The sequence below is a fragment of the Homo sapiens genome, chromosome 2, assembly GCF_000001405.40.
Source record: "Homo sapiens chromosome 2, GRCh38.p14 Primary Assembly".
Lineage (NCBI taxonomy): Eukaryota > Metazoa > Chordata > Mammalia > Primates > Hominidae > Homo > Homo sapiens.
In genome coordinates, this window is record NC_000002.12 from 111,153,323 (window position 1) to 111,174,574 (window position 21,252).

General features: G+C 44.9%; 1 protein-coding gene across 22 annotated transcripts in view, besides 3 other annotated features; it reads left to right on the forward strand.

The window, feature by feature from the left end:
* The window catches only part of BCL2L11 (BCL2 like 11), a 47,532-nt gene extending 32,409 nt beyond the window's left edge, over window positions 1-15,123 (forward strand). For 8 of the 22 annotated variants that reach the window (NM_138624.4, NM_138621.5, NM_138626.4 and 5 more), the window contains one exon: window positions 10,811-15,122. Coding sequence is in view for 17 of the 22 variants with exons in the window: in NM_138621.5 (NP_619527.1) it covers window positions 10,811-10,909 (99 nt within the window). In the remaining 5 variants the exon portion in view is untranslated. Of the gene's footprint in view, window positions 1-457; window positions 583-8,096; window positions 8,229-10,810 lie in introns of those variants that run through there. The other 14 variants (NM_138622.4, NM_001204109.2, NM_138623.4 and 11 more) reach the window with 7 other exon arrangements.
* Window positions 12,475-12,975: an enhancer, noted in NCBI's record as "H3K4me1 hESC enhancer chr2:111923374-111923874 (GRCh37/hg19 assembly coordinates)". NCBI's record gives its function as "activates a minimal SCP1, AML or CMV promoter by ChIP-STARR-seq in primed H9 embryonic stem cells {active_cell/tissue: H9 hESC(primed)}" and the evidence as "EXISTENCE:reporter gene assay evidence [ECO:0000049][PMID:30033119]".
* Window positions 14,290-14,349: an enhancer, noted in NCBI's record as "active region_16383". NCBI's record gives its function as "activates an Ori minimal core promoter by ATAC-STARR-seq in GM12878 lymphoblastoid cells {active_cell/tissue: GM12878}" and the evidence as "EXISTENCE:reporter gene assay evidence [ECO:0000049][PMID:35858748]".
* Window positions 15,471-15,580: an enhancer, noted in NCBI's record as "active region_16384". NCBI's record gives its function as "activates an Ori minimal core promoter by ATAC-STARR-seq in GM12878 lymphoblastoid cells {active_cell/tissue: GM12878}" and the evidence as "EXISTENCE:reporter gene assay evidence [ECO:0000049][PMID:35858748]".

The window sequence follows — 21,252 nt, forward strand, 5'->3', positions numbered from 1 at the left end:
GAACTGAGATTGCACCATTGCACTCTAGCCTCCACAAGAGCGAAACTCCATCTAAAAAAAAAAATAGTTCAAAACACTGGATGATGCTGTGGATAGTGACACCGTGATCTTCAAAGCCACAGACACCCGTCTTGATACTTGTTAGATTAAAAACAGTCCATTGTCTGGAATCACACTTAATGGTCCATTGTTAAATATTGGGGGCAGAAATCTGGGAAGGTAATGGGAGGCCGTTTTGGGAAATAATGAATTCAAATTACCTGCTGTCTTCACAAGGGAATTATCCTCTCTTGGCAAGCGAGTGTATCTCACTGTGCTGCTTTAGGATGGATATTAACCTTTTAAATGTTGAGTGTCTTTATTTGCTTAATGCTATTACAATGCCTTGTCTAAAGTGTTAGTCTTTTATTGCCACGAGCCTTGCAAAGCCTGACAGGATATTTTCCCGTTTTTCCAGTTAGAGAAATAGAGGAAGTTGTCGTGTAGTTGTCATGTATTCAGTCCACTTAAGGGCAGTGGGGAAGCGTTTGAGACGGAGCTGTGGAGGCTGAATCCTTGAAGGAGGAGGTGAGAGAGGCACAGGTGAGCGCAAAGTCCCAGTGCATGTCCCCTCTTCTCTCCCGATGCAGTGTCATTCCCAGGTGAACCTGCCGGGCTGAACGGCCTGGCCCCTCTATTCAGTCGGAGTTTTACTACTCCAGTGGATTTTGGTAACTTCATTTGGAAATAATTTCAGACTTACAAAAATGTTGCAAGAATGACACAAAGAACCACCCTTTTATATCTGCCCCACTTGTTTTCATGTTTTCCCTCTTTGCACACATGTACAATTTATTTCAGAAAAAACTACAGACATGATACTGCTTTTCCTACACTAAAAATACTTCAGTGTATATTTCCCAAAAATAGGAGTAATCCCTTATGTAACCACAGTGTAATTATCAAAATTCACAAATAGTGTTACAAAACTATTATCTGATCTATGGACCTTATTCAGATTTTACCACTTGTCCCAACAATGCCCTTCTCAGAAAAAAAAAAAAAAAAGAAAAAATGTATTTTCTGGCCTAAGAGCCAATGTAGGATAATGCATTGAATTCACGTGTTTTACCTCTGGTTCCGTTAATTTGGAACCGTTCCTCTGTCTTTGTCTTTTATGACAGTGACATTTTTGAAGGATCAGGGCAGTTGTAATTTGCAGACTCCCTGAGTTTGATTTATCTGATATTTCTGCATGATGAGACTCAGGTTTTGCATTTCTGATGGGAGCACTCCAGAGGTGATGTGTCAGTGTGGCACAGCAGGAAGCACATGATGTCCATTTGTCCTGTTACTGATGAGGTTCACTTTGATCCAAGGTGGATCTTGGATCAAAGATCTTCCACAGTCTTCCACTGTGAAGTTAGTACTTTTCCATTTGTAATAGGACAGAGATTATAAAGGACAAAGAGCTTTCCTTTCTCTCTTATATAGTTATTTAGTATAACAACTTGGATTCATAGATTCCTGTTTTATTCAATGGGCTGCAATGCGTTACTGTCAATATTTATTTTGATGCTCAGATTCTTAATGATTTGGCGGGAGGCACCAGTAGTGCAGGCACAGGGAGAACCAGTTGTGGGACAAAGCCCAGGGGCTGTGAAGGTCACGGAGCTCTTAAAAGTCATTTGTTGCGGAATGAACTTTGGCCAGAGGGCTACTGACCCTCACAGCTCTTCCTATGCAGGTCTGCTGTGCAGGGCACTCTTAAAAGACTCCAAGCTTGTGAGACTCCTTAGTGGCGAGTAGGGAGGCTATTGGTAAAGGCTAGGTAGCGTAAGGATGTTAGTAGGCATGGAGGGAAGAGAAGTTCTCTGAGAAACTAAATATTTTGGAATTTGTGAGAAAGTGAGCAGCTTGCCTTTACCTGAGTGGTGCAGTGTTTGTATTTCTGCAGCCTGCACCTTCTCTTCCTGGTGAGTGTGTCAGCCCAAGACAGCCAGACTGTTCTTCAGTAGCGGTTGCCAGTTTCTTTCATCACCCAAACTGTGTGAGCGCATGTACCGGTTCATCTGCTGGACGCAGTGCCAGCAAGTGTAGATTGCGACCCTCTGTAGATGTGGGCCGGAGGTACTGGAAGGATAGTGTCTACTTGGGTGGGAGTCTTGACCATGGGCTGGGGCTGCAGTCAGAAGCCCTTAGAATGTAAAAATGCTTACTCTTGGAATAACTGGACCCATTCTGCAACCAACATGCCTCCCTCTTTCCCCTCCATAACCCCTAATACTGAAGCTGGAGTTGTTTACCTTCTGTGGCTTCTAGGTTCTTCACAGTCAGGTTGTCCAGCTCAAGTCACTCCATGTGCAGGAACACTGCTCTTGGCTAACTGTGACCTGGGCATGTCCTGGTGGTGGGCTGCAGTGGACAGCAGCACATGAAGCTGCTCTCCAGATGAGGCCAGCAGTGAATAAAAACCCTTTCATTGTTTGATCACAAGAAACAGTGATCTTTTGTTTACACTGCCTACTTCCTACTCTGTCCAGGGCATGTGCAGACAGGAATTGATTGAAGTGCATGTAGACCAAAATCTAGCCCTGAATGAGACAAAGTAGAGTTGAGAAGGTGACTTGCAGACTGATTTTGATGGAAAGAATTTAACGTGTCATTACATTAGCATTTTCCTGTGCTCTGTATGAATTTGAAATACTTATATGCTCTCCTTCTTGAGAAGTGAAATCCCCAGTGCTATCTCATTCTTGTTTTTATAAATGGTAGTCACTCTTCTGTGAATAATGTACAAAGGCAAGGACTAAAGTTTAGCCTGCTTGGTAATTGCACAAACTGAACACAAACCCAAACGTGTGTTCTCAGCGTACTTTGGAGGTCTTCATTAATTGAATGTTGGAGTTTAGTAAAAGAAGTTGCTTTCTGTTACTGGCTGTGAAAAGAGTCGTGGAAATCTGCACATCAGATATTAAATTCAAATTAGACCTAACTCATGCAATGATAGGTTGCCCCACACTTCACTCACATGAGTTGATAGAATGTCAGTTTTCATAACAAAAGCAGTCATGAGGAGCTTAGATAAATTGGTACCTGCCATTGATCAGTGGCACGGTTTTCATTCAGGTTCAGCAAGAGTTTTCCTTAAAGCTGGAGGAGGCAGCTCAGTGTTTGGGTTTAGGAGCCTTTCTTTCCTGTCTTAGACTACCCCGTTTCCGTCCCAGAAGTACAATGGCCAGAGGTGATGAGCTCCTTGGTTCTTCCCCTCAGACTTTTGGGAGAACATGTGGCTGGGATTATGTGGACTATGGATTGCTGGTTTTCCAAACAAGCGCGTTCTGTTACTCGTTGAAGCCAGAGTGTGATCTCGTAGGAAAACACGACTCACAGAGAAGTGTGGGGACTTTGGGGTCAGACCTAGAGCCCTGACTCTACCCTTAACCTTTAGGAGGCCAATTGTCTGGTCTATCCCTTAGGCATGTAGTGGAGATTAAGTAAGAACATTTAGAGATGGAGCTAGAAAATTCTTATTATCATCTGTTATCGTAATTCTGTTTCCTCTCACTTTGAACTGTAATTGAAACATTTTTCAATGGGTCTTCGGCGTTTAGAAAGGGAGATGCCAGGAACTCTGTTCACCTGTCTATCTTTTAAATACTCTGGAACTGCTTTTTAAACAAGTTGTGTGTTTGACCCTACTGCACATGCTGTGTCTGGGTGTAGGCAAATATGAGATGAGGCTGAGGCACTGGTGTGTGTTTAAATGGCTGGATGGGCATCGGGCTAAAGGACTTGTGCTTGTTTGCACCACGTGTGAGTGCTCATCTGTTTGGCAGGTGCCTACACCTGCAGGGCTGCCTTGCAGCTCTGGATCAAGGCCATTAACACATAACCATGAGGAAGGAGATGCAGGTGCCTGGAAGGGGACTTCAGGAGGTCTAACTGGGGTTTTTTTTAAATCTCTTGAGGAGGAAATGAAGATGCACACAAACTAAGGCTTGGCCCTGCTGCAGACGTTCAAAAATAATAAGCTTCTCATATCATCCTTCACTAGACTTCTACCACCTGAAACAAAGTGGAGAGGTTTTAGTTGTGGTTAAACTATGTTACGTCTCACTTAGCTTTTTTCTGAGGCTGAAACATTTTGGAACAGTGTGTTTCTTCTCTGAATCTAATATTCCAACTACTGGTGCCTCACACAGATGTCAGAACAATCTGTCTCTTCTCTGTGGTTGGCCATAGAACAGTGACGATTTCAGAAGTGGCAGGTGGGAGTTGTTCCCCAGTTTAGCCAGCACCAGGTCTGGAGTCTGACAGGCTAGAGACCTACCAAGTGGAGGGCTGTGCTGTGCTGCCTGAAGAGCCTCAGTGCACAGCCTCACCTGGACATTCACTGGAGAAGAGATTTGTGTCACAATAAGCCTTAACTATCATAATTTCTTTGAAATAGTGTGTCAAAAATAGGATAAAAGTTTGGTTTATGCAAATGTAGTTTTTATCTGACTTCTGAAGACCACATTGTCACCATAGCAGATCAGCTGCAGCACCCATAGCTTTGCAACGCTAGGGGAGAGTGCTCTCCTGGTTTGGGGTGAAGGTACCATGCATCTGGGAGGGAACTTCCTAGTGCCCTTTCCCCAGCTGTGGTGACATCAAAGTGCAGCAGGCACAAGCTATGCAAATATCCATGTTGCCTTGGTGATGAATAGAAAGTGGATTTGGTGTTGGGCAGTATTGTAGCAATCTCCTCTGACACCTGAAAACAGCATGCATATGGAACCAGTGCTGAAATACCAGCTCAGCTGCCGTTTGACTGTGGTTGTTGGTCTGAAAGTGGAGAGAGACCAGATCTTCCTGAAGAGCTCCACATCATGCTCAACTGTGTGCTGGGCCTTTTTCTCTCTGACTTCTGTGTCACTTAGTTGCCAGTTAAAATGCTGTTTAGACTGCTGGGTTATGAACGAGTCGTGGAGTGGTAGTTCTAACAGAATCAGGGGGGTGACTCCTAGTTCCATGTCCCACCCTGCCACCTCAGTGTCCCTAAAGATGCCGTGACAGCCCCTGGGTATTCTCAGGCTCCTGGATGTCCATCCCAGGCCCTCTCTTCTGCAGCCTGTGGGGATCAGACACCAACCAGAGAGACTGCTTCCTCAGTTGCCTGAGCCTGGAGCAGAGATTCCCTCTGTCCTTCCTGGTCTCACAGTCCAAAATTCAGCCTCCTATTATATATAATGTATAATAATTTATAGTATATATATAAACACTTAAATATATATAAAAAATAAGTTTCAGGACATCCTATACATTTACTGTTGAAATTCTGTAAGAAACAAGTTTTTGAGTAAGTTAAATTCCTCTGCATCTCAGAGTTCTATAGGTATACCTTGTTTTTGAATGCCTCTTAGAATTAGGAATTGAGCTTGCTTTGATATGACAATGAAATTGTCGTTTTTCCCTCGTTGCTCTGACTGCCAGGAAACTCTTAACTAAACTGTGGCTCTCTTACAGCACATCTCACCCCTGGTTCCCAGGATAACTCCTTGATGTCATGTCTGATCTCAACCTTTTTTTTTAAATTGTGTTACACACATTTGCGCTTTCTTAATTTAAGTCCCCTTTGAGCCATGCTATGTCTAGGTCTGTGTTGTACTTACCGAGTCCTTGGGCCCAGTGGGTGTCAGCCCTGCCTTTGGAGCATGGATGAGTGGGCTGTATTCTGAGCTGCATTGTAGGAATCACTTAGTGATTCTCAATTCGCACTCCAGAACCTCTGTGGCCTCAGCTCAGCCTGAAACAAGGCCCCTTTCAGGTCTGAGGAGCAACGGGCCCTTCCCAGCAGAGGCACAGGCACAGGCACAGGGTGTGCGAGGAGGGAAGGTGCTGGCCTGAAAGCCCTCGTTTAACTTCTTTCCTGCTTCTGGCATTCCATCTTCATGTGGGCCAAGAGTACCCATCCTGTCCTGCCACTGTCTTCAGCTGCACTTTGAGTCACTTGCTTGACCTCTGTAGTCACTGGCTGCAAAACAGCATAGGGAATGCTACCCTGGCACTCAGGGTTGTTGTGGGGACTGAAAAGCATGGGCTAGGTTATTTCATTTAGTGGTGGCCATGGCAATTCTTCCATCCCCAAGCTTGGGCACACAAAGTCCAAAGGCCTGGAGTGCCCTAGGCAGCTTTTCAAAGGTTCGACTCCTCTCACTGTTGGAGAGTGAAGCTGAATCCAAAGCTGCATTCTATAGTTGTCTGCTGTTCAACCTGACCAGTTCCCTGGGGCCAGGGCCTCTATTGTTTTCCAAGCATCTGCTTCCCTGGACTGAGCAAGAGAGTGGTGTTCTGTGATTATTTTGGCATTAGAATGTCATTAAATTCCCTGACACTTAATTGGTCGTCCCAAGTGTAAATTGAAGATGCTTCTGCCCTGCACTTAATGTTCCTCGCTGCAGTGGCAGCTCCAGCCCCTGGCAAGGCAGCAGGAACCCCACGCTAGGGCATTCCTGTGGTACAGCTCCTCCCAGGTTGCCACCCAGATGAGCTTGTGCCATCTGGTGTCATGGGGACATGTGAAGAACTATTTAGGAATTCCCTGTTGAATGCTCGACACCGTCTCAAAGGGCATTGTTCATATCTTCAGAGAAAGACTGCTTAAGTCTATGCTGAGGAACTTGTAGACACATAATCCTATGCCTTTACACTTAGAGGGCACAGTCTGTGGGGGAGCAATCCTGCAACTTGGCATAATCTTTCCTTCTGGTTTATGATAAATACTTATCCACTACTGAGATTATCTTTACTGAACTGCTGGCCCCTTCTGCCTGTTGGCCTTGCTGCCTCTGCCCAGCTTCTCTCTCCACCTGCACTGCCCATTCTCCTCTTGTCCTTCCAAGAAATTCTCCTCTTCCTTTGGGGCTTGATGTGGGGATTCACCCTGGTGCCTTCCTGCCCTGGCTCCCCCACTTCCTCTCTGGCCAGTGGTTTTTTTCCCTCTCATTTTATTTGCCTCTGTATTGTCCTTACTTTATTATCTTGTTTACTGTTTTGTGCTGGCGACACAGCTATTACCATCAGACCTAGTGGGTACACAGACACGTGCCTTGAAGTCAGGCCCCCCACCTGATGCTGGTCAGCAACAGGGCCACTGGAGCCCCTTACCCTGAGAGGGGCAGGGGCTGTCAGGAACTGGTTCCTGGAGGGACACACAAGGTTGTGAATGTTGAAGGAGTCATCTTCTGGACACATGGGATGGCCACAAAAGGCAGTTACCTCCAGGTAACCCAGTCCTCATATAGCTCTTGATTTAGGCTATGGAGATTACAGTACCCAACTGGGTGGGGCCCTCCTCTTTGTGCACTTGTGATTGTGTGTATGTGTGTCTGCGTAGAGAAAGTGAGAGAGGAGAGAACTGTAGTATATGGTCACTTCAGTTGTAACTTACTAGCAAATTTGGTCTTTAAAAATAATCTCCTTCACCCAAATGAGTTGTTATACCTTTCTAAAGTATTTTTGCAATTTAGACTAAAACAGAGTTACCCAACTCTGTAAGAAGGATTGTTTTCACTTAAAGAGTGACAGACTGAGAGCATCAGTGAAAGTGTGTATTAGTCAGCTAGGGCTGCTGTGCAGAGTTCCAGAGACTGGGTGGCTCACACAACAGGAATTTATTTTTCTTAGTTCTGGAGGCTGGAAGTCTGTGATCATGGTGCAGACTTAGCCTCCAGACCTGTAGATGCTGTCATCCCCTGTGTCTTCACGTGGTCTCCCTCCGTGGGTTTCTGTGTCCTGATTGTCTCTTACCAGAACACCGTGGATTAGAGCCCACCCCACAGTGACCTCATTTTAACTTAATCACCTTATTGATGACCCTGTCTCCACTTACAGTCACAGCCTGAGGTCCGGGGGGTTAGGACTGCAACAGATGAATTGAGGGGACACAGTGTACAGTTCAGCCCATAAAGAGGAAGATACCCAGAAGTTTCAGGAGGGAGTGGAGCATCTTCCCTGATTGTATTTATTTTAATAGTTTTTTAAAAAACGCTTGTAATCAGGAAAGACAGTCTGTCTTTTTTATATTACCCAGTTTGGGAGTGGCAGAACTTAAATGCACTTTTGATTCACAGATGCCTCTTCCACCTGATTAAGAACCACTGTAGCAGACGCAGACTTATTGGACACTAGGCGGGAGGCCAGCTCTGCAGACAGCAGGTCTCAGGAAGACGGTCAAGGCATGGCTGCTGATGATCCGCTTATGGGTGTGTTTATTGTCTTAGCCCATGTTAGATGCGAGGAACCACTCACACTGCAAATGACAGCTCCTGGCTCAGTCTTAGTGTCATACTTGCCTTTAACTGGCAACTCCCCTGCAATACAGGGATTGTCATCTTTAGTCCTGACTTTCCAATTCCATCTTGGATGTGCTACCCTGGCCAGAAGCCACTGGGTGTGCCCTTACTTTGACCTTTCACCAGTAAATTCCATCTTAGGGGGCTTTCTCTAATTGCTTCAGACTCCCTCCTGACCCTTTATACCACCCCAAAACCAAAGGCCCTGGTTTAGGAGCTGAATTGTAGCAGCCGTTCCTCAGTATCTAGATCGCAGGGAGATTTCACTGGAGCTGGCTGAAGCTGTTGGCGCTTTGAGCAGCGTTGAGCCATCAGTCCTAGTTCTGCGTCTTTGCCCCACTGCAGCTTTTGGCCACTTGCCCCAGTTTAGTGTCACCAGGCCCCGACTATAAGCCACAGTAATTTTTATGGCTGCAGGTATTAGAGGGCAGCCAGTCTACAGAGGTAGGGGCTGCCCATCCTCCAGCTGTCTTTTGCAATACGGGCATACACTTCGAGCCAACAGCAGCTCCAGCCGGCCGTGCCAGCTGTCAAATGCTTTCTGGGCTGGCACGGCTCTTTGAATCCGTGGTAATGGCTTCCTCTGTTGAATGTCGTCCAAAAGCAATTGCTTGTCAGCTTAAAAGCGTGTGCCATGTTGTCATGCCCGCCGTCTGAGAGGGCAGGCATCCCCGCACACTTGCAGACTGGGATGCTGTAGCATCTTCTCATGAGTCAGGGATTGGGTGTAACTTTTGCCAAAATTTCCTGCATTTTCCCCACCCTCTCCAACATGTCTTTGAATACCCCATATCCTTTACATTTGAGATGAAAGTGGAACTCTAAAAACCTTGGAAAGATTCTCTTGTGAGGTGACTTCTACTTAAGCTTGGTCACAGCCTCCTGCTGTCCTCAAAGAGTGGGCAGGAGATTTCTTCCCTTGGACGCTGCCAGTGCTGGAATATGAAACTTACCAAGTGTCAGCAGTTGGGGTCTGTCCTTCACGTTGACCCAGCCCCCTCATTGGTGTCCTGATGATTGTGGACACCCAGTCAGCCCCATTTTCTGGCCACACCAAGCATGGCAATGACACCAGGTTGGCACAAAACAACTCTGCCTGGATTGATTACTTAGCCCATCATAGCGTACACTTTCTTCATTTTAGTAAGTTGTGGTTTTATTTTGAATAAGTCTCTTTCAACCTATTAATATTAGTCTACACTAAAATTAACCTTCCCCTAAATTATTCTCACACAGAGGCAGCAAAGTAATTTTGAAAGTTAAATCAAAACAAAGCAATCTTGTGTGTAAAACAGATAAAAATCACAGACTGTGGTTACAGAGTGCCTCTACAGGAATCGCTTACATAAAGCTGATTTCCTCCAATCTTGTTATGGAAGGAAAAGGGGAAATGCCCTGGCCTTATCACAATCCCATTCTGTCAAACAAGCGCGGCAGAGCTTGTGTAAACAGTGGAGCTGCAGCTGCGGCTGGTGTCTGTGGGGGCCATTCGGGGTCTGAGGGGACAGTTGTCTCAGCCTGATGCATGGCAGGTGGTTCCCGCGACGGTGTGTTGGAGGTATCCCCCACCCAATGAGAAGGGGGTTTGTGGAGAGACAGTCATGTAGCCCGGTCTCGTGTGGATTAGTCATTAAGAAATGTCCAGGGCAGATTTCAGACTTGAACAGTGAACCAGGTTGTAGCTCATGGCGTCGAGGTTGAGGTGTTGTGTTGCCGCTGCCTTTGGTGACTGTGAATTTATACCTTGCACATACTCACAAAATGGATTAGAACCTGAAAGTGGGCGCTGTGGAAGACCTGAGGACCCTGAAAGCATTGGATAAGCTGGTGATTTCCTTTTGAACAGTTTCTCAGTTTGTAACAAACATATGCTGGTCACTGACACAGAGACTTTTTTATGTTCTGGATTGCTCTTTCCTTCCCATACCGAGAAGGTGGGAGGATGGGGGTTGACATTGCCTGTGTCTGTGACCATGGGCACCCCTCTGGGTCACGGTGTTTATCATAGCCAAGCAGCCAGAGGCACAATGGCGCATCACTGCGAGACTTTATTTAGCTTCTTAGGGCAGATTACTCCAAATCACTGGTTTTTCAAATAAATTACAGCTACCAGAAATTCACCCCTGGGGGAATCTGCAGCATATTTGAATGTCAGTTAACTTGGGTGGTAAGATAGTTGCTTTACATCCTCTTTGAGTTTTTCAAACATTTTTTTGAGTGCTTTTTTTTTTTTTTTTTTTTTTCCTATTTTAAGGAGTAAATCATTGGTATGCCTGCCCTTTTTGTAGGGATGTCTTCCCCTTTGCAGGGAAATGAAAACAAGTTTTCTTCACAATCTCTGGGAGGCATCGTGCTTTGTGACACAGTGCTCTTGAAGAGGTGCCTTTCATGGTGATTAAGATGGGATTGGTTGTTCACTTAAATATGGGCTCCCACCCCTCCCCACCCCCAAATTAGGGAGAAACTAAGAAGCTTTCCTTTTGTTGTTTCAGGTATTTTTGAATAATTACCAAGCAGCCGAAGACCACCCACGAATGGTTATCTTACGACTGTTACGTTACATTGTCCGCCTGGTGTGGAGAATGCATTGACAGGTTCTTTGCGGAGCCGAGATACCATGCAGACATTTTGCTTGTTCAAACCAACAAGACCCAGCACCGCGGTCTCCTGGTGCCATTATTATGCAGCCAGCGGTTCTCTTGTGGAGGGGGCAGGTGACGTTTCAGAAGACACCGAGCTGGATGGGACTACCTTTCTGTTCATCACCACACAGCAGAATTTCTAATGGAAGTTTGTTGTGAATGTAAAGGAGGGAGCATTCTTTGCTTTTTAATATACAAACCATGGTTTTTTGGAGCAGGATTTTGTGTAAGAATGGTGTTTACATGCAGTGTGTTTTCCCCCTCACCTTCAATAAGGTTTTTCAAAAAGGAAATGGAAACTTTTTAACCAATTTGTGAATAACTTTTGTATTAAAATTTTAAGAACCTACGGCCTATTCTCAGAGGATTATGTAACCCCTGCAGTGGAAACTGAGCCAGCTAACTTAAAAAGCTGCCTTAGTTTATTTTTAGAGATTACAGAATTTTTAAACAGGGAGACGTGTGATATACTCCCTCCCTTCCCTACTATTGCCTCTCTGACCTTTTTAAATTATTTTTAATACCAAAAGAGTTCTTTTGAAATGGAACTGATTAAAAGGGCAGAGGGTCTGTTGCCAGCCTGCATTGATATACCAGTCCCATTTGTAAATATTTACGTACCTTTATAAATTCAGTTGCATCTGTGGCAAAATTTCAGACTATTTTTGCGTCTTTCCTCATCACTTTTTGTGATGCAACTCCAGTCTGGACTCAGATGCATAGATTTGGTCCAGTGTATTTTCATGATAAAGTGAAATTGAGTCAGAACAAGAGTTAATATCTGCCTGTATCTTGCACAGTTCGAGCGATCTGTTATTAACTGGGAAGCATTTGGTGTTGGTTTTCATTCCATTTCGACGAGCATGTTATTGGGAAGTATTCTGAAGAGGCAATAGCAGTAATAACAACAGACTTAAGTGCTACGCCCCTTTGTGCTGCTGGCTTTTCTGGTTGCAGGCTTTCCCATGGTCACAGGATGCACTGTCAGCATCAGGTCCCAGAGGGCCACCGTGTCCATTACAGCAGAGTCCAGCTGCAGCATCCAGCTCACGCCCTCATGGGAATTGGCACAGGCCTGGGGCAGGGCTTCTGATGGCCATTTGCTTGGCCTCCTGCATTTTAGTCCAACTCACAGTCCACTAGCTTCACTCCTTTAAATTCACTTTGAAACAGGCCTCATCCCACTTCCACCAGCACCATAGAAGAATAATTCTGGGCAGAAGTCTGTTTTTTTTCATTTTTCCAGGACAGTTGGATATTGTCAGGCCACTTGTGACCCCAGCCATGTAGTGAGGGTGCTCTTTCTCTGTGCCTGCTCCTTATGAGTGCAGTGGAAGGAAGCCACACACTGGTCAGTCATTTCAGAGGCAGCAGATGCCCAGGGAGACCCAAGAAAGAGTCAGGTTAGGGAGCAGTGAAAGTGAGGAGGGAAGACAATTCTGTGAACTCTGTAACTCTTAAAATTTTTGAAAACTCCATCGTTAAACAACTTTTAAAAGAAATAACTAAATTTTCAAATGAGTAAGCAGTGCCACCAACTAGTGTTTTGCCCGATAGAAGAGCCAGCATGTTCACGTTATTTAAATTAGGTGGAAAAATCTAAACATTTTTATCTTCATAATTTAAAAAATATATATGTATATATTGCATATTCACTTTTTCCTTTAGGTAGAGATGATTTCAATCCAAATACTCTTACTTTAAAAAATTTCCTTTCCCCAAGAATCTCCTTGGGACTTTGACTTATTTTTAAAGCTGTGTTGGAGCTCATCTTGTTCCCTGATGTGTCTCGAGCCCATTGGTAGGGTCATACAAAGCCCACGGTTACAAGCAGTGGTAGGATTGCAGCCGTGGGCCTGCTGGACACACACATACACCAAAGATGTATTTGGATCTGGGCACCCCCTCCCAGGATCCCTGTACTCACGTGCCAGTCTCCTGACTAGAGCACTTTACTCTGTTTCCTCAGCCCTGCAGCCCCTGGGAGCACACACTGGGTGCAGCCCTGGGCCAGGCACGGGAGGCCCTGCCCTGTGCTGCCCAGGGGCTGTGTGCACCACATGAGCACATTTCCCTCTGGCCTGGCGGCCTCCAGGCTGGCTGTGGAAACAGTTCCTGAGGAAATTAGAGATTCTATGAATTGTAGGAGTATTAAAGACCAGGCTGTTGGCACCAGAACTTAAAGCGATGACTGGATGTCTCTGTACTGTATGTATCTGGTTATCAAGATGCCTCTGTGCAGAAAGTATGCCTCCCGTGGGTATACGTTTTTACCTTTTTTAAAAAACATTTTTGTAGAAAAAATAATTAAATCCCCTTTTTGGAAACTTACTGCAGGTTTTGTGCCTTGACAACCTCTCCCTATGTGAGGTTTGTAAAAAGTGTCCTGTGACTTAACACAGAAACGCAATAAACACACACAAAATAGTTTCATGAGTGATTCTTCAGATGCCCTTCCCAACTGGTTAGTTGATCAAGAATTTTGGGGGTGGGGGTTGCGGAGAAATCAAGTTTAAAATTCCTTCTGATTAAAAAAATATAGTGGAATACAATTGTCTGCCGTTTCCCCTTCTTAATGTATATATTGTGAGTATTTATTAGATTCGTAGGTCATATTACTTATCAACTGAGCCAAATGTCTGTGTGCAATTGTGTTTCCTTTACCTTGTAAAATTTTGTACAGCATAAATAAGTAAAAAAATCACTGTTTTTCTCAACTTTTTCAAAATCAAGGATTGTAAATATTGTAGATTCTTTTTCTGTGTGATGTGTCCTACTGTTTCATAATGCTGTAACTTGTAGAAATATTGTATATTTATTTTCTGCTTATTTAATGTCTTAATTTCTGAAAAGTATTAACATCCCTGTCTCCCACTCCCCTGCCGTCCCATGAAGTTAACTCCTGAGAGTTGTCGGGGGTGACTGGAGAGCTCATTGCAGACCACGTGGTCCTCCAGGGTGGCTCTCCACCTTCGGGTCCTGGTATTTCCAGTCAAGTGGGTTTCAATTCTTGGGCTTTGCCGCCCTTATGATGAAGTGTGTGTTTGATGCCAGTGAGAAACTCAGTCTGGCAGGCTACAAAATTCTACTCCAAGAAATACCCAGCAACCTTCTGTTTGTTCCAAAGCAACTAGCTTATCATGCAAGCAAATTTTGCTGACTCCAGGCTTTATCTTTAGGAAAACAAAAAAACCAAAGTATTATCAGCAGGTGGGAAAGATTTTTCTATTGAAAATTTATCCCTGACAACTCAGCGTTTAGAAAAGAAATAAAATGTGCCACTTCCAGAGGTGCTGCATTGCAGTTGTTCAGGGCTAGGGCCAGGCAGGACAAGTGAATGGGTGGGACAGGTGGCTCCTGCCTAAGGACCACCTCAGGCCACTAACCCCTTGTGGACAACTGTGAGTAGCTGGGTTTTCCCCCACCTGCTGTGCAACTTCCTGTGCTTTGAGGTTGGACTAACTTGTCTTCAGGAGCTAATTAACTGTACAGCCCTCCCCACGCCCCACCCATACGGTCACTGCATTTGGTCAGCCTGCTTCTTCAGGTCGATGCCCTCCTTCTGATACTCCATCTCCTTCAGGGGAGGTTGGGGCCCCACTGGACTGGGTGTCAAGATGTGAAAGCTTATGGGAGCTTTAAGGAGACTTCATGGTGGTTCCATGCAGGTGGTTCTGCCATCCCTGCTGATTTAGCCTGGTGCCTGTGTGTGTCCACTCACGTACACGTGGGGTGGGGGAAACGTGTCTACAGATGACGCTAAATCAGTTGGGGTCTACTCTAAACAGCATTGTGTGTAAGAAGCATCCTCAAGCTCCCAGTTAAGTAACTTGACTACTTTTATTTGGGAATTTCAGACTATAGAAGCTCTCTTATGTTTTATGTCCAGATTCTGTGACCACTAGTTACTGTATCAGAACTCATCAGGTACCCACTTATAAATAGCACTGATCTGGCTGTATACTGATCCATCACTAACCTGTTTTCTAGGACCCAGCGTATGTAGCATTTGTATTGCAGTTTCCCTGGCTTACTTGTGTTTTGCACTGATGAATTTTGACAGGGTAATTGCCACTTTACTTGTGCAATACTGCTGTAAATAACTGCAGATTTTTAAACAATCTTTTATGTTAATTTTATAAAAATAAAACTTTCAACTAGTTTTGGTGAGCGTTTGATTTGTTTGCACAAAATGTCAGAGAAACAGCTGAAATTATATATGAACATGTACACGCCCACACATCTGCTATTATCAGTCATAAAATGTAGCTGTGTGTAGCTCATATATTTTTGCTTGAAGACGAATCCGTGCAGTACACTTAAAAGTAAACGAGTCTTTAAAGTTTTGATGTGGCTGGTGCGAAAAGTATTCTGCCTGCACAGTCAGATATGACTCAGCACTTGGGTGGGGAGTTGTGGGGGCAGGGAAGTGTACTAGGAGCCGGCTCTGTACTGTGTTGATGAGTGATATGGCAGGTGCCCAGCCATCTTACCCCATCAACCCCATAATAGAAAGGGCTTGTCTGCAGCACCTGCTCAGGGTCAAAGGGGTCACCCAAACGTGCCTAGACCCTGTGTGTGAAATGATGACCAGGAACCGCCAAGTTCCCAGCTCCCGTCATGTAGGGTGGATGGGAATTGCCTTAGGAATGAGTGAAAGAAATTAAAGCCTGGTTTGGGGATACAGGTGATAAAATCCTAATAAGTATTTAATTTGGCACTTTCACCCTAAGTGCTGGGAAAGTGAAAGACAGACTCAGCTTTCTTTTAGACTAACAATCTGTTAATGCTTTCAATCGGGTGAGTAATACATGAATATGGTCTTGTAAATTTATTTCAAATTGTATTTGTTTCAAATCAAATTGTTCTGTCTTAATCCTACCTCCTCACTGAGGTAGGAGTTTGCATTCTCCTGGACTCTTAATCTGCAGTGTGTGTGTGTGTGTGTGTTGTGTGTACTCACACAGCAGTTTTGCTTTTCTGTAAGTGCCATAGCTCTGTATATGGTTCTGACTTAGCAATAGGTCACATATCTTTCCATAGCGACTCCACTTCATGCTAACTACTGCAGCAAGTGCCAGAGCACAGGCATAGAATTTGCTCATAGGTATCCCACTCTTGTGGTACAGGGAGGTGGAAGATCAGCCTCAACAGACTCTGGAAGACACTGTCAAAGTGGCAGCTCCACTTCACACGGGCCCTGGCAGCACATAAGAACACCCACTTACCCCCAGTGCTGTCAGACATGAGTGAGCTGGTGTCTGCCTGCTGGGTGAGGAGCAAGTGGTGCTCATTTGAATTTTTCTATCAATGCAGTAGGATGATCTTTTCAGGCACTGGTGGCATTTGCCTTTTTTTCTGAAAGTTTTTGCTAATTTTTGGTTGAGTATTTTTTCTATTGATGATTAGCTCTTTATACATTCTGGACAAAAAAATCTCTTATATGTTGGAAATACTTTTCCTTCAATCTGTTGCCTTTTTTTCCCAACATTTTATTGTGAAAACTTCCAAACATTCAGAAAAGTCAAAAGAGTTTTACAGAGAATACCCATGCACTCACTACCTAGCTTCTACCTTTAACTTTTACTACCTTTGCATTATCATGTATTCATTTATTAATCCGGCTTATTTTTTGGTGCATTTCAAAACAAGTTGTCACCAATACTCTTATCCCCAAATACTTCAGCATCATTTAGAGTTCATCAATTTTTTATAATTTTTTTCTCCAAAGATAAAATTTACATAAAGTAAAACATACAAATCCTATGTGTGCATTTGCTAAATTTTGACCAAGGATACAGCTGTCTCTCAAACCCTTGTCAAGATAAAGAATACTACCGTAACTCCCAGAAAGTTATCTGCTTTCCAGGTAATCCCTCCTCTCCTGCCCCCATTGGTAACCTCTGTTCTGAGATTCTTTTCCGTCATAAATTAGTCTTACCTCTTCCTGAACTTCATATTAATGGAACCATAACAGTATATGGTCTTTTGTGTCGTGTCTGGTTTCTTTTGCTCAGAATATGAGATCCATGTTACAATTATCAGTAATTTCTTCCTTTTTATTACTAAGTAGTAGTCTATTGTGTGAACAAACCATGCTTTGTCTATTGTCTTATTAATGAACACCTGAGTTCTTACCAGTTTGGGGCTATGATGAATAAATCTGCTATGAATACTCTCATACAAAGCATATGAGTCTCTTTTGTGAACATATGTTTTTATTCTGCAGCATGTTTTTTAATTGCTTGTGGTGTATTTTATGTAGAAGTTGTCATCTTAGGTGGTGGGTGCCTATAGTCCCAGCTACTCGGGAGGCTGAGGCAGGAGAATGGCGTGAACCCCGGGGGGCGAAGCCTGCAGCGAGCCAAGATCGCGCCACTGCACTCCAGCCTGGGCGACAGAGTGAGACTCCGTCTCAAAAAAAAAAAAAAAAAAAAAAAAAAAGAAGTCAGATTTGTCAGTCTGTCAGTCTTGCTTAGGTTTCTGTATTTTGTATCTCGTTTAAGACAACTTATCTATGACAAAGTTTTAAATATATTTTCTTATGTTTTATTCATATAACCAGTACAGTTTGGGGTTTTTTTTTCACCTTAATCCACCTGGAATTTATTTTTTTAGTGATCCACAGTATTTAGTTTTTACCCCACAGAAAGCCAGCACTGTTGTCTTTTTGTCCACCAGCCTAAATTGATCCTTTGACAATATACCAAAGTCTAATACATACGGTTCTGTATCTCAGCTCTTGCCTTTTTCATTGATCCTTTTGTTTAATCTACATTATTTTAATTACTTGAGTTTTATCTGTTTTGAGTTTCTTGTCTTTATTTTTCAAAATCATCGTGGCTCTTTTTACATTGTCTTTTTATGTGCATCTTAGAATTAGTTGAAGCTTTTCAGAAAGTTCTTTGGAGGTCTCATTTAGGATTACAGTAACTCTTGATTTAGGGAAGAATTGCCATTTTTCCAGATGTTTTCCAAGATGTATAATATTTTTATCCATCGATTGTGTTTGGTTTTGGATGCTTTTAGTACACTTGATTTTTCTTCCTTCAAATCCCGCACATTTCCTATTTGCTTTTTCTGGGAAAGAGGGGAGGATGCCTTGCATCCAGCCCTTATCTCCACCACAGTTTCCCTTTGTGTGCCTGCCTCCCACTGCCCCTTTCTTTCCCTGCCTGAGGTATCGCTGAGGGCAGGCCCATGGCCTAATGTTTGACTGATAAAACACTCTTCCCAGCACTTTGACTCTGGAGCGAGCAAGGCAAGGAGGGGCCATTTGGAGGGCAGCATCCTTGAAGCTGCAGGGCATGTTTGTGTTCTTGGCCACAGTAACCGGCCCCCCAGCCACCAGCACCCCGGGGTCCCGTCTCTGAGCTGCCTGCTGGACTATGCAACAGGCGCCCACCCTCCAGCATGTTCTCCTTGTGCTAAATTAGCCAGGGCTGGTTTCTGTCGCTGGCAGCCAAAGCAGTGACTCATTCCTACCTGTCAGAAGGACCGAATACAAAAGTTGCATGAAGTCTCTTTAAACAAGATGAATTAGAAGGTGTGGGGTGATGGACTGATTGTGAAAATCTCCCCTGTCGAGACCAGAATGGGGCTGTGAGGAGATGGGAAATAGCAAGGCAAAAGGTGGTCTCTAATCTTTTTGGGTAACTTCTACCACTTGCTGTTTTTGTTTTTTTTTTTTCCTGGAAACTCTATCTTTCCTGAGGCAACCCCTAAGTCCTTAGAAGACTGTATGACCGAGGAGAAGATATATTAGAATGTTGAAGGCTTTTTTTCTGGGCATGTTATAGAATGATTACAGGTATTACAGAAAAGGACCCAGGAAGGCATGATTATAATAACCACTCAGGCTCCATAAAGTAGATTTGGGAAGAGTTAGTTCTTACAATAACCACTTACCTAATAGCTAAACAAGATCAAACTTGGCCTACCACTCTTAAAAGACACCATCAAGATGTCGTGTTTCATTGCCGATATCAGAGAGCTTATGCAACCCCATTAAAAATATATTTTAGATGGTCATTTTCCTAAAATCTTAATCTGAGTATTAAGGTCCTACCATGTACTAGACACACATGAGAATATCAAAATGCTTAAAACCAGGGCATGGTAAACAGGCCATGTTCTTAAAGGTCTCACAATCAGTAAGCGGAAAGACCACAGTAAAATTCTCTAGTGTAGTTCCCAGGGAAAGAGCTGTTTCAGGAGCTTAGGTGAGAGTAGTGGGCCTACAGCTCCATGGGGTGTCTCACCCACTTCCCCCTCATCTCGGGGTCCCCTCTAATGATGCCTATAATGACAGCTAACCGTTAGGCACTTGCTACGTGTGAGGCACGGTTCAAAGCATCTCATAGTTCATTTTCATCTCAGAACAACAGCCCTTTGAAGCAGCTGCTATTACCACCCCAAGTGTCCAGACAGGAAAACCAAGTCATGAGGTGGTTAAGCCACTTGCCCAGGGACATCAGGCTCCTCAATGGCAGAGCGAGGATGTGAGGCCAGGCAGTGTGGCTCTGCCAGAGAATGGACGTCTGACCACGCACCTGCTGCCTTGCAGGGCCCGTCGGACCAGGAGCAGGAACAGGGGGCTGAGACCAGCCAGCCAGGGTCTGCCCCAGACAGGATGCCTGTCCTGCAGCCTTGCTTCTGCATAGCTGCCAGCATTCTGGGGACTCATGACTCCATGACCTGGTCCAGATCTGCCATGAGAATGTGCATGCACAGGCCCAGGTCTCACTTGCATCTCCAGCCACCAGGGCATTTCAGCTTTGCCAGTGGCTCTTCTTGCTGTGGGGCCCTAGTCCTGCATGGACTCTTTTGACCTAACTGGAGGGCCTCCTGTGGACGTGTGGGCTGTCCCAAGAGTCCTTGGTTTTCCTGAGCCTGCTAATTGCCACGCAGACCCCTGACAGGTGTGGCCTCTGTGTGATGGAGGGTGTGGGCCCCCCTCCTGCCCACTGCCCCATCCTCACTCTGCCATTAGGGCAGAGCAGCTCCCCAGGTATTTGTTGGGATTTAAGTCCATTTTAATGGGGGCATCGCAGTGCTAGAGTGATGGAGCAAAGGGGTCAGAAGACCCCCGGGAGTGGGCTCCCCAGCCAGGAGCCTAGAGTGAGATTGGGTGGGAAGGAGCTAGTCAGTACCCATCAGGAGCAGAACCCTCCCACACTCATTCGTGTCTGGTTCTTGAAATCTTTTCTCTCCAGACCTGGAGCAGGGAATTGTTCTGAACCCAGAGCCTCCCGAGCCCTCAACATCTTACCCCCACCTGCCAGGCACGTACTGCCTGTGCCCCTACACTGCGCCTGAGCTGCAGCCCCAGCTGGGTGCACGTGTTCCTTTTGCTTGTTTCAATCTGGTGCACACCTTCCCTAGGGTGCCAGTGGAGAGCAGGGCTGGGGGTTCAGATCTTTGAGTTCCGCATGGACCCCACTTTGCAGCAAAACCTATAGAGAGCAGGCAGGACTGGACTCCACAGGGACTCAGGCAGGCCATCATCCCCAGCAGCTGCTGTTTGCTTTTGAAGAGCTGGAGCTCCTCCGATTTTCTTTTTTCCTTTATAAAAAAAGTATTGAGGTACAAGTACACACAGGGAAGCACACAGCTTGCACAGCCAACTTTACACATTTCTACAGCCAAGGATTGATTTGCCTCCCCAGTGAAGATGCAGAACCTTCCCAATTTTAAGTGAGAGCACCTCGGTGCTGCCTGCCCAGGCTCGCCCCTGACCTCCTGGCTCACCCTTGCTCTGGGGGCCTGAGCCTGGAACCCCTTCGGGGACAGACTGGGGATCCAGGCCTCTAACCTCATCCTGGGTAGGTCCCCCAAGGGTGCTCAGAGGTCCCTCAAGGCCCTTCTAACAGGAAAGGGGGCTATCTCCGCTCATGGAGTAGGTTCCGATGAGTCTCTAACTCAGTCAGAAACTCTTCCCAGTGTTACTCGACCATGACCTTCAGGCCAATATGTGTCACTTATTTCTGCCAAGACGCCTGCTACAAAAATCCTTGACTGTAGAAGATCTGGTATATTTTCTTAAAAAGTAAATCAATTCTATTACTTTGAATTCTGGACCCTTGAAAGGGGAAAGTGGTGAGTCAAAGCTTCCTCAGGCATTGGATGACACTTTGAAAGGCTTTCTGAGGGGAAAAAAAATTGCATTTTGTCTTCAATCAGTGCCTATAGAATCTCTTTCTCATTTAAGTGTTGGTGAAAGGATTCTATTGTCTCTAACCCAAATAGTCTAAAAGACTTGCATTCATTCATGTATTTACTCGCTCAGCAAA